This window comes from Homo sapiens, chromosome 6 (genome assembly GCF_000001405.40).
Source record: "Homo sapiens chromosome 6, GRCh38.p14 Primary Assembly".
Taxonomy (NCBI): Eukaryota; Metazoa; Chordata; class Mammalia; order Primates; family Hominidae; genus Homo; species Homo sapiens.
In genome coordinates, this window is record NC_000006.12 from 44,391,552 (window position 1) to 44,407,130 (window position 15,579).

Genomic DNA, 15,579 nt, shown 5'->3' on the forward strand with positions numbered 1-15,579 from the left:
TCACCTCTTAAATCATAGGGTAGTGGACACGTGAAGCTATTTAGGGTGTTCTTGGCATGAGTTATTTAGCACCATCCCCAAGTCATGTGGCATTAGGAAAATACTTTGGATTGTATAAGAATGACCTAATTTCCTAGGCACCTGGTTAGGGGAAAGTATCAGAATGTAGAAATTGGCCAGGCGTGGTGGCTCACATCTGTAAGCCTAGCACTTCGGGAGGCCAAGGCTGGGATCACCTGAGGTCAGGAGTTTGAGACCAGCCTGGCCAACATGGTGAAAACCCCGTCTCTTCTAAAAGTACAAAAATTAGCCAGGCGTGGTGGCTACTTGGGAGGCTGAGGTGGGAGGATCGGTTGAACCCAGGAGGTGGAGGTTGTAGTGAGCTGAGATGCTGCCACTGCACTCCAGCCTGGGCGACAGAGTGAGGCTTTTTGAATGTAGAAATTGGCTGTTAAGAGGAAGATGATTTTTAGGCTGAAGAAGTCGTTCTGATTTCTGTTTGTCTTAGTGGTACCAGTTCCTGCTGTCATATTTGGTAGGACTTAAGTCCTGTTTGCCTGCCTGTCATCCAGCTAAGTAGACTGGATGGAAAAGGTGGGCTGGGTGGGGAATTAGGAAAGACAGAGGGAATGTCATAGTAGTTTTACTTAAATTTTAAAACATATCAAATGAAAGGTTACGGTGAATTTAGTGAGTGTAAGTCAAATGCTTAAAGAAATAAGCCATGGTGTGAGAATCAAAGCATGAGAAAATAGTATGAAAACTGGAAACACTGTAAGAAACGTGATTTTGTATTGTCTTCCAAATATTTCAAAATTTCTAGAAAAGCGTAAATAAATAAAAACATGATAGATGAGAAAGAAGGCTTATGATCATGATTCAGTGAAGTAACCTTTTTTAACCATTACTAATCTTGCATAATTAAAATAAAATAGAATGTGATGAGATGGGGAATATTGACTGGGGTAAGTGTAACCACACAGCAAATATTCTGTTGTCAAAAAGAACAGTTTTTGTAATTGAAGGATGAGAGCACAAGTCAGTGTATCCATTGTGCAAATTGGATATTTATGCCAGGTAACTGATTAATATATAAAATGATCTATGTTTAATAGGTATGAATGGCTGGATCCAAGCATTAAGAAGACAGAATGGTCCAGAGAAGAAGAGGAAAAACTCTTGCACTTGGCCAAGTTGATGCCAACTCAGTGGAGGACCATTGCTCCAATCATTGGAAGAACAGCGGCCCAGTGCTTAGAACACTATGAATTTCTTCTGTAAGTGAGTCTTCAGAAAGAGCATAGAATATATGTATATGTTCTGAAAGAGGCTGAATAAACTTTGAGTATTTTCTGTCTTTAAACTTTTAATTATGGATGTGAGTAAACCCAAAGCTAAAGCCATTGGATAATATTTTCCATATCTCAGATGGTTGATCAAAATTATGCCTTCTGTCATATACTTCCTAAAATAATAATTTAAAAGAATTATACAAGTCATGCATGTTCATCATAGAAAATCTGGGGAAAAAATAGTAAAAGAGCAAATAAAAGTCACCCATAATCACACTGCTAAGAATTAACTACTGGAACATTTTGGTTCTTTACTAATAGTTTTTTTTTTTTTTTTTTTTTTTTTAAATTTGTATGGCTGTACCGCATTTGTGATTAGGATCTGTTTGGGTTCTATTTTAGAGTGATTGAAACCAGTCACTGAAATCAGCAAATTTTAATATCATTTCTTTCAGATGAAGTGATAGTAAAAAGGCTTTATGTTGTTAAAGCCCATCCATTGGTTTTTTTGGGGGGAAAAATATCGTCAGAACTTGGAAATCTGGTAATTTTAACTCTAAATGGTACTGTAGTGTGACTAACTCCTATGGGCTTTTTTCTAGGGATAAAGCTGCCCAAAGAGACAATGAAGAGGAAACAACAGATGATCCACGAAAACTTAAACCTGGAGAAATAGATCCAAATCCAGAAACAAAACCAGCGCGGCCTGATCCAATTGATATGGATGAGGGTAAGTGTATGCTTTGAGGAATTTATTTCTTTGGTAACTGTAAACTCCTTGGGCCTCACTCTTTTAGTTCCTTTCTGAACTCCTCTACTTTAGAATCCCTTTTTTTTTTGAGACAAGGTCTTGCTCTGTTACCCAGGCTGGAATGAAGTGGCACAATCATGGTTCACTGCGGTTTTGACCTCCTGGGCTTAAGCAATCCTCCCATCTCAGCCTCCTGAGTAGTTGGGACTACAGGTTTATGCCGCCATACCTGGCTAATTTTTAAATTTTTTTGTAGAGATGGGGTCTCCCTGTGTTACCCAGGCTGGTCTCAAACTCCTGGGCTTAAGCTATCCTCCCTTTTCTGCCTCCAAAAGTGTTGAGATTATAGGTGTGAGCCACCATACCTGATCCCCAATTCTGTCAGCAGTGTTCTTATTCTAAGTATCTTTCCAAATATGTCCAGTGTTTTCTGTTATAGAGTAGTTGCTTTTTCTGAACAGCGCCCCTTCATCTTCTGTTTCTTCAATTCAGTTAATTAAGTTAATTAAGTGTTACGGGGTGTGGTGGTATGTGCCTGTAGTGCTAGCTGCTAAGGAAGTTGAGGTGGGTCGATCTCTTTAGCCCAGGAGTTGGAGGCCAGTCTGGGCAACATAACCCCTTGAGCCCAGAAGTTGGAGGCCAGCCTGGGCAGCATAACGAGACCCTGTCTTTAAAACTGAGTAGTGTAATTCTACTGAGTAGATTTTTCAGAGGCTAGAGGTGAGCCCTTGAAGATCCTGTTTCTCATTCCTATTCCATGGAGAGAGACATCAAGTCAGAATATTGGACCTCAGTCCTCCTATTAATTACTTATTTGACTATAGGCAAGTTATTTATTCTGTGTGAGAAGGCAACCTGTGAGACGGTGATGGAGACTTAACAGTGATTCTGGGAGGCATTGAATCAGGAATTCCACAATAGAAAGTATATGGAATCAACCTAAGTGTCCATTAATGGGTGAATGGATAAAGAAAATGTGGACTGGGCATGGTGGCTCACGCCTGTAATCCCAGCACGTTGGGAGGCTGAGGTGGGCAGATCACTTGAGCCCAGGAGTTCAAGATCAGCCTGGCCAACATGGTGAAACCCTGCCTCTATAAAAAAATACAAAAATTAGCCAGGTGTGGTGGCGCATGCCTGTAGATCCAGCTACTGGGGAGGCTGAGGTGGGAGAATCACTTGAGCCCGGGAGGCTGGGTTTGCCATGAGCTGAGATCAAGCACTGCACTCCAGCCTGGGCAACAGAGCAGGACCCTGTCTCAAAAAAAAAAAAAAAAAAAAAAAAAAAAAATGGTATACACACACACACACACACACACACACACGAATACTATTTGGTCATAAAAAGCAATGAAATCATGTCATTTGCAGCAACATGGATGGCAGTAGAAGTCATTATGTTCAGTGAAATAAGCCAGGCACAGAGAGACAAATACTGCATATTCTTCCTCATATGTGGGAGCTAAAAGCGTTGATCTCATGGAGTTAGAATAGAGTGATAGATGCCAGAGGCTGGGTATGGTGTGTGGGTGGGAGAGCGGGATTAAGAGAGGTTGGTTAATGGGTACAAACGTAGATGGAAAGAAATAAGTTATAATGTTTGATAGCAGAATAGGGTGACTATAGTTAGCAACAGTGTATTACATATTTCAAAGTAGCTGGAAGAGAGGTCTGAAATAAATACTCAAGGTGATGGGTACCCCAGATATACTGACTTGATCATTACACATTCTATGCATGTAACAAACTCTCACATGTACCCTATAAATATGTAAAGTATGATGTATCAGTTAACAGAATCAGGAATTGGATTTTCAACCCGTGTGTGCCACCTATTAGCTGTTTGACCTTAGACAAGTCATAAAATCTCTCTGAGCTTTGATTCCCTTTCTTGCGAGATGGGGAATACTAATACCTGCTTTACCTTAGCAGGGTTGTTGTGAAGCACTCAGTGAATATTTGTTAAGTTTCTAAAATGTAAAGTTTGAACATAGTGGTTCCCAAAGGCAGGCTGTGGCTAGGCTGGCTGCATCATTATCACAGGGGGAGCATTTAAAAATAGAAATATCAGGGCTTCTCCTGTATATACTGAGTCAGTACATCTGGGGTGGTGTGGGAGGCACGGGAAGAGCAGTGATCTTGGAATCTGAGTATTTTACAAGTTCCCATGTGATTTAGTTGGACAGCCTTGCATAGGAATTGTTCTAAGGCATCAATAGTGGCATGTATTATTCCATTCTATAGAGCCACGAAAAATGTATTGGATGAGAGAAATTGTTCTGAGGGGAAAAAAAAGTATCTAATGATAGTTGTTCTCTCATAATTAAATAGTTTTTACCCTATTTCACAATTTGTGCTGTGCCAGTTAGTTGATAATAATGAAGGATACAATAATTGTAGCCACTGTTTAATGAATGCTTGCGAGATGCTTTACATATTTCGTTTTACTTAGCCCTTCTCAAAATCCTTGTGAAATAGGAATTGTTATTCGAATTTTATAGGGAAACCATGCTTAGGGAGGGTAAGTAAGTGACTAAGGTCACATAGCTAGCAAGTGGTGGGCCTGGTTTTTAACCTAGGTTCTTTGACTTCAAAACTCAAGCTGTTTCCATTATGCTACACCATAAAATCAGTATTTTTATGTTTTTTTCTCATTTTGAGCAATAGAGTGTCTCTTACATACCTTGCTTCTAGAGTATGTAAGAACTAAGAAAATACTTAGTTTTTCTTCTTTTAATTTTTGCAGATGAACTTGAGATGCTTTCTGAAGCCAGAGCCCGCTTGGCTAATACTCAGGGAAAGAAGGCCAAGAGGAAAGCAAGAGAGAAACAATTGGAAGAAGCAAGGTATGTGTGGATATAGGAATAAAAAGCAAAGTGTTTTTCTCACATAACAATCAACACAGAATACTTCTGTGACCAGATATGTGGTTTTTTTTTTTTTTTCCCCTCTCCACCAGCAATCAGGCAATCAATTCTGCAGTGGATAGCTGGGTGTCCTCTAATTCAGTTAACTCTAATACTGTCTACCTGGAGATAGCTCCAGATCTTACAGGTTGAGGACTTAGTCCCACAAGACTGAACCCCAGTTTTGATGCTGACCCTAAACCCCAGGTTATTTTGCTTGTGTTTCTGACCAGCGAGCTGGGTTCCACTGCCCCTTCCTTGGGTTCCATTCATCTGCTAGAGGACTCACAGAACTCAGGGAAACACCCACATTTACAAAGGATATTTTAAAGGATACAAATCAACGGCCCCATGAAGAGATACACAGGGTGAAGCCTGGAAGGGTCCTGAGTGCAGGTGCTTATGTCCCATTGAAGTTGGGATATGCCACCCTCCCAGCCAGTGGGTGTGTTCTTGTTCACCTTTTCGGAAGCCCCCATGTATTTGGCTGCCCACAAGTTCTCCAGACTCTGTCCTTTTGGGTTTTTATGGAGGCTTCATTAAATAGGCAAGATTGATTACATCATTGGCCATTGCTTATCAACTCGACCTTCAGCCCTTCTCCCCTCCCCTGAGGTTGGGGGTTGTGGCTGAAAGTCCCAAGCCCTCTAATCCTGCCGTGGTCTTTCTGGTGACTGCCAGCTATCAGTCAACTCATTAACATGCAGAAAGACACTTTTCACTTGGAAGAGTCCCAGGATTTTAGGAGTTGCATTGTTGGAAACGGATGAAGACCAAATACATTATTTCACAATGTGTGCTTGTCTCCATTCATAGTTCAATAATTAGTCTAGGCATCCTTAGGACCAATAAAACTGCATGATTTATTAACCCGTTGGGTGAATAATAATTGGAATTGTCCAGTTCCTATTTCGCTAGTATTCTTTACCTTCTTTATTTCTCTGAAACTATCTTGTATTTTTTTCCCCCAACCATTTCAGAATATTTATAGAAAACCATATTTAAAAAAAATTGAAGCTATGGCAGAGGTAATGCCCAGTTTATCCAGTATGTTGAGTGTGTTCTGTTGGCATATGAGAGCTTCATTTGTTGTAGCTATTTTGGAGTCAGATGACTGTAGGACACACAAGATTATGTGTCTTTTGTATGACTGCCAATTAGTTACTTTCCTTGATTGGTATTGGGAAGGCACTGGCTGTGAAACAGGAAACTTGGCTGAACAAAGAGGGAATTAATGAGCTTAGAACCAAATTTTAGGCCCTCATAGAAATCTTTATTTAAAAAGTAAACGAATATATATTACACATTGTCTTTCACTCAGGATTTTCTTCACTTTCCCCTTTTTTCCTTTTGGTTAAGTCCATGATTGATATCAGTTCTAATAGCCCAGAAACCAAGATGATGTCACTAAAGGGCAAATCTGGACTGTGTCACAGCTTATTAGCTTCTGGGATTCAGGCCCTAGAATAACCTCCCTATCCTGTACAGTGCCCCTTGTGGCCCCCAGGTTGGCCTGCTGATTCTTCTTGACCTGATGACCAGCATTATGTTGTAATTAATGGCTTTGAAGTGCCAGATCCTGGGATGGAGGGTTTTTTAATGTCTGAGGATGCATGTTGGCAGAGCTGGCCAATTGCTAGCCTAGAATGGTTAGCTTATTTGGGGGTATTAGCTGCCGGGGACAGTAAACAGAAACCAAGAGGAGGTACTAACTTTTCCACCATTCTTGGCCACCTCTCTATTCTGTATACTCTTCAGAGTTAAGTACTGTGAGTAAGGTTGAAAAAAAATCACTTTTCCATTTTTATCCATGGTTGTAGGGGACCAAATTTTTAGAGCCCTTTAACCGTGTGGATTGGGCCAGGGACACAGCAAATGCATATGTGAAAAATCTCCAAGTGTGGCTAGCATTGATTGCTTTAAATAAAATTTGCAGATTTTAATTTACCCTGTAATTTCTTGTAGGCATTCTTGTAGAATCTACACATCTTTGTAAGTTATATTCTAACAGGCTGGAATGGCCTCTATGCAAAGTGCAGGGCAGGGCTATTTGCTTTTAAATGTTAAATTACAAATCTACCTTGTAACTTAAAGCAGTTTTTTATTGATTATAAAAGTAACACATTTTTCCTTCTAGTATTGTTAATGTTCTCATTTTGGGACATAGGTAATATAATGCTATATGGCTTGGTTATATTCATTTAGCATTATTGTGTAAAGGTTTTCTAATGTGGATTGAAGTCCTTATTTCCATTATTTAAAGAATGAAATTACTTTAAAATTTGAAATACATTTTTCTAAACTTTTCTCTCTCTCAACATAGATGTGCATTTATGTGTATATATGTACACTAACGTTTATACAAAGTTGGATCATACTGTACGGTTTTAATGAGAAGTCAGCTGTAAATCTTACTGAGATTTCCTTGTAAGTGTTGAATCATTTTTGTCATACTGCTTTTAATGTTAATTTTAATTTTTTTTAAGAGAGGGTCTTTCTCTGTTGCCTAGGCTTTAGTGCAGAGTTCACTGCAGCCCTGCACACCTGGGCTCAAGCAGTCCTCTGCCTTAGCCCCCTGAGTAGCTGGATCTACAGATGCACACCACCATTCCCACCTAATTAAAATTTTTTTTGTTGAGACGGAGTCTCGCTATGTTGCCCAGGCTGGTCTTGAACTCCTGACCTCAAGCTATCCTCCTTTCTTGGCCTCCCAAAGTGCTGGGATTGCAGGTGTGAGCCACTGTGACTGGCCTGTCTTACTGGTTTTAAATCTTCTCGTCTTTGGCTTTCAACATTTTTAATATGATGTGTCTGTAGATTTCTTTTTGTTTATCTTACTTGGAGTTCATTGAGCTTACTGGATGTGTAGATTAATGTTTTTCAATAAATTTTTCAAAATTTCAGCCATTATATATCTTCAAATATTTAATTCTGCTCCTTTCACTTCTCTCCTTTTGGTACCCCTGTTCTGCTTATGTTGGTGTATTTAATAGTGCCACATATTTCTCTGAGGCTCTATTCATGTTCTTCATTCTTTTTCTCTGTTTAGATTGCATAATTGTTACTGCTCTGTTTTAAAGTTTGTTAATTCTTCTGCCAGTTAACATCTACTGTTGAGCCTCTCTAGTGAAGTTTACATTTCAGCTTTGTACTTTGTTTTGTTTTGTTTTTTGAGACGGGGTCTTGCTCTGTTGCCAGGCTGGAGTGCAGTGGTGCGATCTAGGCTCACTGCAAGCTCCACCTCCCGGGTTCACGCCATTTTCCTGCCTCAGCCTCCTGAGTAGCTGGGACTACAGGTGCCCGCCACCACACCCGGCTAATTTTTTGTATTTTTAGTAGAGACGGTTTCACCATGTTGGCCAGGATGGTCTTGATCTCTTGACCTCGTGATCTGCCTGCCTCGGCCTTCCAAAGTGCTGGGATTACAGTGTGAGCCACCACACCTGGCTACTTTATTTTTTTTTAATTAAATAAATATTTTTTTTCATTTTTGTTATTCCATTCCTTTTCTAAGTTAGCTGATAAGCTTTGTGCTTTTGAATTTGAGAATTTCCATTTGGTTCTTTTTAAGCATTTCTGTCTCTTTACTGATATTCTCTGTTTGATGCAACGTTGTTATCATACCTTCCTTTACTTCTTGGTTTCCTTTTGTTCTTGGAACATAATGGCTACTTTCAAGTTTGTTAATCTGACATCTGGTTGCACTCTCAGGCAGTTTCCGTTGCTTGCATTTTTTCTAGCATATGGGTCATTCTTTCCTGTTTCTTTGCATGTCTTATAATTTTTTGTTGGAAACTAGACATTTTAGATGATATACTGTAGCAATTTTGGGTACTCCCCCAGCCTTCATTTATTATTTGCTTGTTTACTTGTTTGATGACTGGTTTATTTTATTTTATGTTTTTGAGACGGAGTCTCGCTCTGTCACCCAGGCTGGAGTGCAGTGGCATGATCTCGGCTCACTGCAACTTCTACCTCCTGGGTTCAAGTAGTTCTCTTGCTTCAGCCTCCAGAGTAGCTGGGATTACAGGCACTGTCTACCGTGCCTGGCTAATTTTTGTATTTTTAATAAAGACAGGGTTTCCCCATGTTGGCCAGGCTGGTCTTGTGACCTCAGATGATCCACCTGCCTTGGCCTCCCAAAGTCCTGGGATTACAGACATGAGCCAGCGTGTCTGGCCAATTTTAGTCAGTCTATTCTTCCCTTACCTCCTGTGAGAAATGTGAAGCATCTGATGTTGCTCCTCACAGGGTATGCTCACAGTCACCCTGGGATAGCATGGTTTGGGCAGCGCTCTCTTTGACATTCCTTTCCCTGTTAAGTTTCACTGATTGCCAGCTGTTTACTGTGTTGTTTTCAACAATGTCCTGGGGCATAAGTTGCACTACAAAGTGATCCAGTCAAATTTGGGCTCCTTTGAAGGGATGCTTCCTGATATCAGTGTTTGAGATTTATTCTCACCCCAGAAGGGCTCCTCCCAGCTCTTATTCCCTGTTTCTCTCTGGCAAACTAGTAGGCCTACAGATTTGGTATCTCCATTAAGTCTGTCAAGCTTTTTCCCAACTTGCCTTTTACCAGAACTTCCACTGTTTTTGATAGTACCCTTAGGCTAGAACTTCTCTATACTCTGTTGCAATGAAGTCCTTTTGTTTGAGGAGAGATGTGGATCTCTCAGTTCTGTGTCCTGCTTCTTCCCCAGGGCTCTGACAGGACATGTCTCCAAGTGACAGCCCTACTTTATTAGCTGAGTGTTTGGTGGGAAGTAGGGGATGGACAGCAGCCCAAGGTTTCCTTGGCTTGCCCTCCCCGTCCGTCCGCCCGCAGCGTGGAGCCCTCATCTCATAAGCCAGGGCAAAGGCTATCAGGGCTCCAGTATTCTCAGCAGCACTGTGTCCAAAGCTAGGACTTCTGTTTGGATGGAGGAAGGAAGCCCACTTTTCAGCCACTCTTGATGGAACTTTGCCACCAGAAATACTGATGTCCTAATCCTCCTGGAATGAAAGCCCTACTACTGGGAGCTGGAGGGGAGAAGGAGTCCTGGGTTCTTGGCTGCACTTGTGTGGAGTGGAATCTCCATTCCTCTGAGCTGGGGGGAAGGAGGGAGTGGGTCTTGGTTTAAATATATATATTTTTCTCTTTTTTAAATTTAATTTAATTTTATTATTATTATACTTTAAGTTTTAGGGTACATGTGCACAATGTGCAGGTTAGTTACATATGTATACATGTGCCATGCTGGTGTGCTGCACCCATTAACTCATCATTTAGCATTAGGTATATCTCCTAAAGCTATCCCTCCCCTCTCCCCCCACCCCACAACAGTCCCCAGAGCGTGATGTTCCCCTTCCTGTGTCCATGTGTTCTCATTGTTCAGTTCCCACCTATGAGTGAGAATATGCGGTGTTTGGTTTTTTGTTCTTGCGATAGTTTACTGAGAATGATGATTTCCAATTTCATCCATGTCCCTACAAAGGACATGAACTCATCATTTTTTATGGCTGCATAGTATTCCATGGTGTATATGTGCCACATTTTCTTAATCCAGTCTATCATTGTTGGACATTTGGGTTGGTTCCAAGTCTTTGCTATTGTGAATAGTGCCGCAGTAAACATACGTGTGCATGTGTCTTTATAGCAGCATGATTTATAGTCCTTTGGGTATATACCCAGTAATGGGATGGCTGGGTCAAATGGTATTTCTAGTTCTAGATCCCTGAGGAATCGCCACACTGACTTCCACAATGGTTGAACTAGTTTACAGTCCCACCAACAGTGTAAAAGTGTTCCTATTTCTCCACATCCTCTCCAGCACCTGTTGTTTCCTGACTTTTTAATGATTTAAATATTATATTCTTGTGTTTCTTACCGAGTTAAAGTAGATTTTCTTGATTTAATGTTTATATATTTGCTGTATCTGCTTCAGATCCTCTTCAGAGACTTTAATTGGTTGTTTTTAAAATATATGTAATTTTCACCATTCTCCCTGGGTAGTGAGTTTATGGAGTTCCTCATGCTGTCATGCTGGAAGTTACTCATAGATACTGTTTTGTAACTTGTTTTCCATCTTTCATATTGTGAATAGCTTTTCTTATCACGAAATCATTACAGTTATAGCAACATAGGAAGATGCAAAGAAAAAAAGTAAAAATTAAATGGAATTCCACCCTCCAATGACTATCGTTATTAATATTTTGATGGACATCCTTCATATCTCCTCAGGCACATATTCATTGATAGATATGCATACAGTTCTTATGTGTTGCCCTGTAACATGTAAACTTTCTAACATTTTTTACACAGTGGTATGTCTTGGGCCTCTTTCCATATCAGAGTAGATTTATAGCCTTTTAAAAGTTTATGTAAATGTCTGTATAATATCTTATAAATTCATTTAATTTCTTACTGATAGTTGTTTAGATTGTATCCAGCTATCTACTATCATAAACAGTGCTTAGTGAACAGCTTTGTAATTAAGTCCTTGTTCATGGTGTAACTTATTTCCTCAGGCTAAAGGCTAAGGAGTGAAATTGCTGCTCAAAAAATATGAAAATCTTTAGACTATGAATGTGTATTTCTAACTTCTCTTTGGGAAGAGATGCACCAATATACTTTTTCATTACCAGTGCAGCAGACTGTCCATTTTTTGCAGCCTTGCCGTTAAAACAAAACAAAAAACTGAATGGTGTTAATTAGATATGCACAAATGGTACTTGTTAATTTAATTTGTGATTCTTTAATTGTTAAATAAAACTTTTGTCATTTTAGTTACCTGCATTTTTTGCTTTGTGAATTGTTTCCTTTTGCTCTTTTTACACCCTTTGAGTGCATTAAAAAAAAAAAAAAACTTTGCTTAGACTGTTTATATTTAACCATCATACTAGTTGCAAATATTTTTTCCTACTATTTGCCTTTTAATTTCATTTATAAATTTTCATAGTGTTACAGTTAGAAGTTTTATATCTCAAAGCTATTCAATGTATAGATGAGTGGATTAAAAGGAAAAAAAAGCTGTTGATTTTTTTCATTTGCCATTTATTTAATTTATATTTAGTAAGTACATTTCCATCCAGAGATAAGATATGTATTTACTTGTAGTTCCTTTTGGTTTTTCTTTTTGCCTTATTATGTGTATGTGTGTGTGCACCTTTAAATTAAAACTAGGATTTGTTTTGGTGAATGGTGTGAGGTAAGGATTTAAATAACTATTTCTTCCCCAAATAAATAGATACTTTTTTTTTAACTGTATGGGATAATTTATCCCTGTCACATGGCATATGATTTTCAAAGTGATTTTGCATTCTTTTCAGACGTCTTGCTGCCCTCCAAAAAAGAAGAGAACTTCGAGCAGCTGGCATAGAAATTCAGAAGAAAAGAAAAAGGAAGAGAGGAGTTGATTATAATGCCGAAATCCCATTTGAAAAAAAGCCTGCCCTTGGTTTTTATGATACTTCTGAGGAAAACTACCAAGCTCTTGACGCAGATTTCAGGAAATTAAGACAACAGGATCTTGATGGGGAGCTAAGATCGTAAGTTGCCTTTCTGATTTTGGAAATGGAAAGGAATAGTAGGAGGAGTCTTACGAAGGGCCAAGTATTATCCTTGTCAGAGCCAGATTTTTATTATTTATTTATTTTACATTTTTTAAAATCAATTTTTTTTTTGAGACAGGGTCTTGCTGTGTTGCCCAGGCTGGAGTACAGTGGCACAAACACGGCTTACTGAAGCCTTGACCTCCTGGGCTCAAGCAATCCTCCCACCTCAGCCTCCTGAGTAGCTAGGCCTTCAGGTGCACACCACCACACCTAGCTAATTTTTTTTTATTGTTTTGTAGGGTGGGATCTCCTTTTGTTGTGCAGACTGGTCTCAAACTCCTGGGCTCAAGCGATCCTTCTTAAAGTGTTGGGATTATAGGCATCAGTTACTGTGCCTGGCCTAGATTTTTATTAGTACAATGTGGCCTACATATGGTTTTATTTATTTAATGGATTCATCTTTCTGAGAAAATCAGGGACTGTGGCTATCACGTTTTTAGCACAGAATGCTGTTTATGGCTCTTGAGTTGAAATGCATGGCTCTCAATTGACTGTTTACTCTTTGAATCACATCTTAACTTTTATGTACATTTATGAGTAGATTAGTTTTACTAGTGGCTGAGGAATCTGTCAAAATTGAGTCTGGTATTTTTAGCCTTAAAAAACAATTTTTTTTTTTAAGACAAGGTCTCACTCTTATCACCCAGGCTGGAGTGCAGTGGCATGATCACAGCTCACTGTATCCACCTCCCAGGCTCAAGCAGTCCTTCCACCTCAACCTCTCAAGTAGCTGGGAGTACAGATGTGTGCCACCATGACTGGCTAATTTTTTATTTTTTGTAGAGAGGTGGGTCTTGCCATGTTATCCATGCTGGCCTTGAACTCCTAGGCTCAAGCTACCCTCCCTTTGCGTCCCTCACAAAGTGTTGGGATTACAGGCATGAGTCACCACTCCTGGCCCTTTTAGTCTTTTCTAGTGAAAAATTTTACCTTGTTTTTATTAAGATGAAATTAAAAGAAAAAACTTACTGATCCTTTCACTTGATGGGATAAATATACATTTATAAAATCTTTATGTTTTAGGGCATAGCAGATTTTCCCTATTTCTTGAGATTTTTAGTTTCTTTAAATCTCATATCTGAATATTGTAGGGAGAGTATTTTATGGTTGTCAAGGGTTTTTTAAAGTTTTCTACTCCGTTGACCTTTCATTTCTGTTGACATGAATTGTTACAAAACAACAGCTATCAGCCATTGTAAAATAGGATTTTCTTAGATGTACTCCATTGTATTTATTCCTCAGATTAGGACTTTGCTTTAGGTAGGCTCTACAAATAAAGAGATTGAACAGGAAAACTATTCATTTGGAAGGAGTACTAAGTGGGGGAGGCAAGAAAGACACACAGAAGGGGAGGAGGTATTCCTGGAGCTTTGAAAGACTGCTTTGAGCCTGTCTTTAGGCTTCCTAACCATGTTTAGATGTCACTTGTCAGTATTAAGACAGCCTTTTTAAAAAAGTTGTGAATTTTAAGAATCATGAGAATTTAATAACAAGTTTTAAAGGGAAATTTAATTATGTTTTAATTTTATTTCTTTCATACACATTTTCCTTTTTACATACTTGTCATACTTTTTCCTATGTGCACACGTTTTTATTGAATGTATTCATAATATAGGAATAGTTTTTGACATTATGTGGAATGTTTTGTTTATCACAATCTTCATACTTACATGTTTTAATATTTAGTACTTCAATTAGGGTACCTTATTGATAATTTTGTTGCTATTCTGAGTTTGCTTTTATCTTGAATATGGTAAGTAATGGTGTAGGGGACTACTTAATGTATATTGTTTTTACCTTTTTTTAGCTATTTTCTTTTTTTTTTTGAGATGGAGTCTTTCTCTATTGCCCAGGCTGGAGTATAGTGGTGCGATCTCAGCTCACTGCAACCTCTGTCTCCCGGGCTCTAATGATTCTCCTGCCTCAGCCTCCCGAGTAGCTGGGATTACAGGCACGCACCACTATGCCTGGCTAATTTTTGTATTTTTAGTAGAGATGGGGTTTCGCCACGTTGGCCAGGCTGGTCTTGAACTCCTGACCTCAGGTAATCCACCCACCTTGGCCTCCCAAAGTGCTGGGATTACAGGCGTGAGCCATTGCACCTGGCCTTTTCAGTTATTTTCTTAGAAATGAGGTTGTTTGTTCAAAGGGTTTGAGTATTTGTATGGATTTTAATGTTTTTGGCTATATGTAACTTAAAAATCTCTTTTCTACTTTGATCCATGACAGTGAAAAAGAAGGAAGAGATAGAAAAAAAGACAAACAGCATTTGAAAAGGAAAAAAGAATCTGATTTACCATCAGCTATTCTTCAAACTAGTGGTGTTTCTGAATTTACTAAAAAGAGAAGCAAACTAGTACTTCCTGCCCCTCAGGTAATCTGATAAAAGCAAATTTTTCACTATGTGAATTTATATGCTTATATCATTTATTCAGCAAATGTTTGAAGGCCTGTGTACCAGGTTTGTGCTGGATGCTCTTAAGAAATTCACAGTTTAATGGGTGAGACACACATAAAAACAAGTAATTGTGGGCTGGCTGTGGTGGCCCACACCTGTTATTTCAGCACTTTGGGAGACCAGGACGGGCGGATCACCTGAGGTCAGGAGTTCAAGACAGAAGGAGTTCCTGCCCAGCATGGTGAAACCCTGTCTCTACTGAAAATACAAAAATTAGGCGGGATGGTGGCACACACCTGTAATCGCAGCTACTTGGGAGGCTGAGGCAGGAGAATCACTGGAACCCGGGAGGTGGAGGTTGCAGTGAGCCAAGATGGTGCCATTGCACTCCAGCTTGGGTGACAGAGTGAGACTCTGTCTCAAAAAACAACAACAATAACAAAAAAAAACAAAAAAAACCCCACAAGTAATTGTGATATAGTATGATAAGATAGCTTCAGCTTCTCTGTATAAATTATTGTATCAGATCTTAAACTGCTCATATGATGGTTTGGTAAGTAATTATCAGCTCTTAACATTTTGTCAACAGGGTAGGGCTTTAGGCTTCTTTTTGTAGCTGATGAGGGTAAAGGTGTGGTT

General features: G+C 39.3%; 1 protein-coding gene across 2 annotated transcripts in view; it reads left to right on the top strand.

Annotated features, from left to right (window-relative positions):
- Positions 1 to 15,579, top strand: part of CDC5L (cell division cycle 5 like) — a 62,720-nt gene that overhangs the window by 3,846 nt on the left and 43,295 nt on the right. Inside the window, exons 3-7 of one of the 2 annotated variants that reach the window (NM_001253.4) lie at positions 1,116 to 1,277; positions 1,895 to 2,022; positions 4,790 to 4,889; positions 12,258 to 12,476; positions 14,772 to 14,916. In NM_001253.4, the coding sequence (NP_001244.1) occupies positions 1,116 to 1,277; positions 1,895 to 2,022; positions 4,790 to 4,889; positions 12,258 to 12,476; positions 14,772 to 14,916 (754 nt within the window). Of the gene's footprint in view, positions 1 to 1,115; positions 1,278 to 1,894; positions 2,023 to 4,789; positions 4,890 to 7,257; positions 7,377 to 12,257; positions 12,477 to 14,771; positions 14,917 to 15,579 lie in introns of those variants that run through there. The other variant, XM_047419605.1, reaches the window with a different exon arrangement.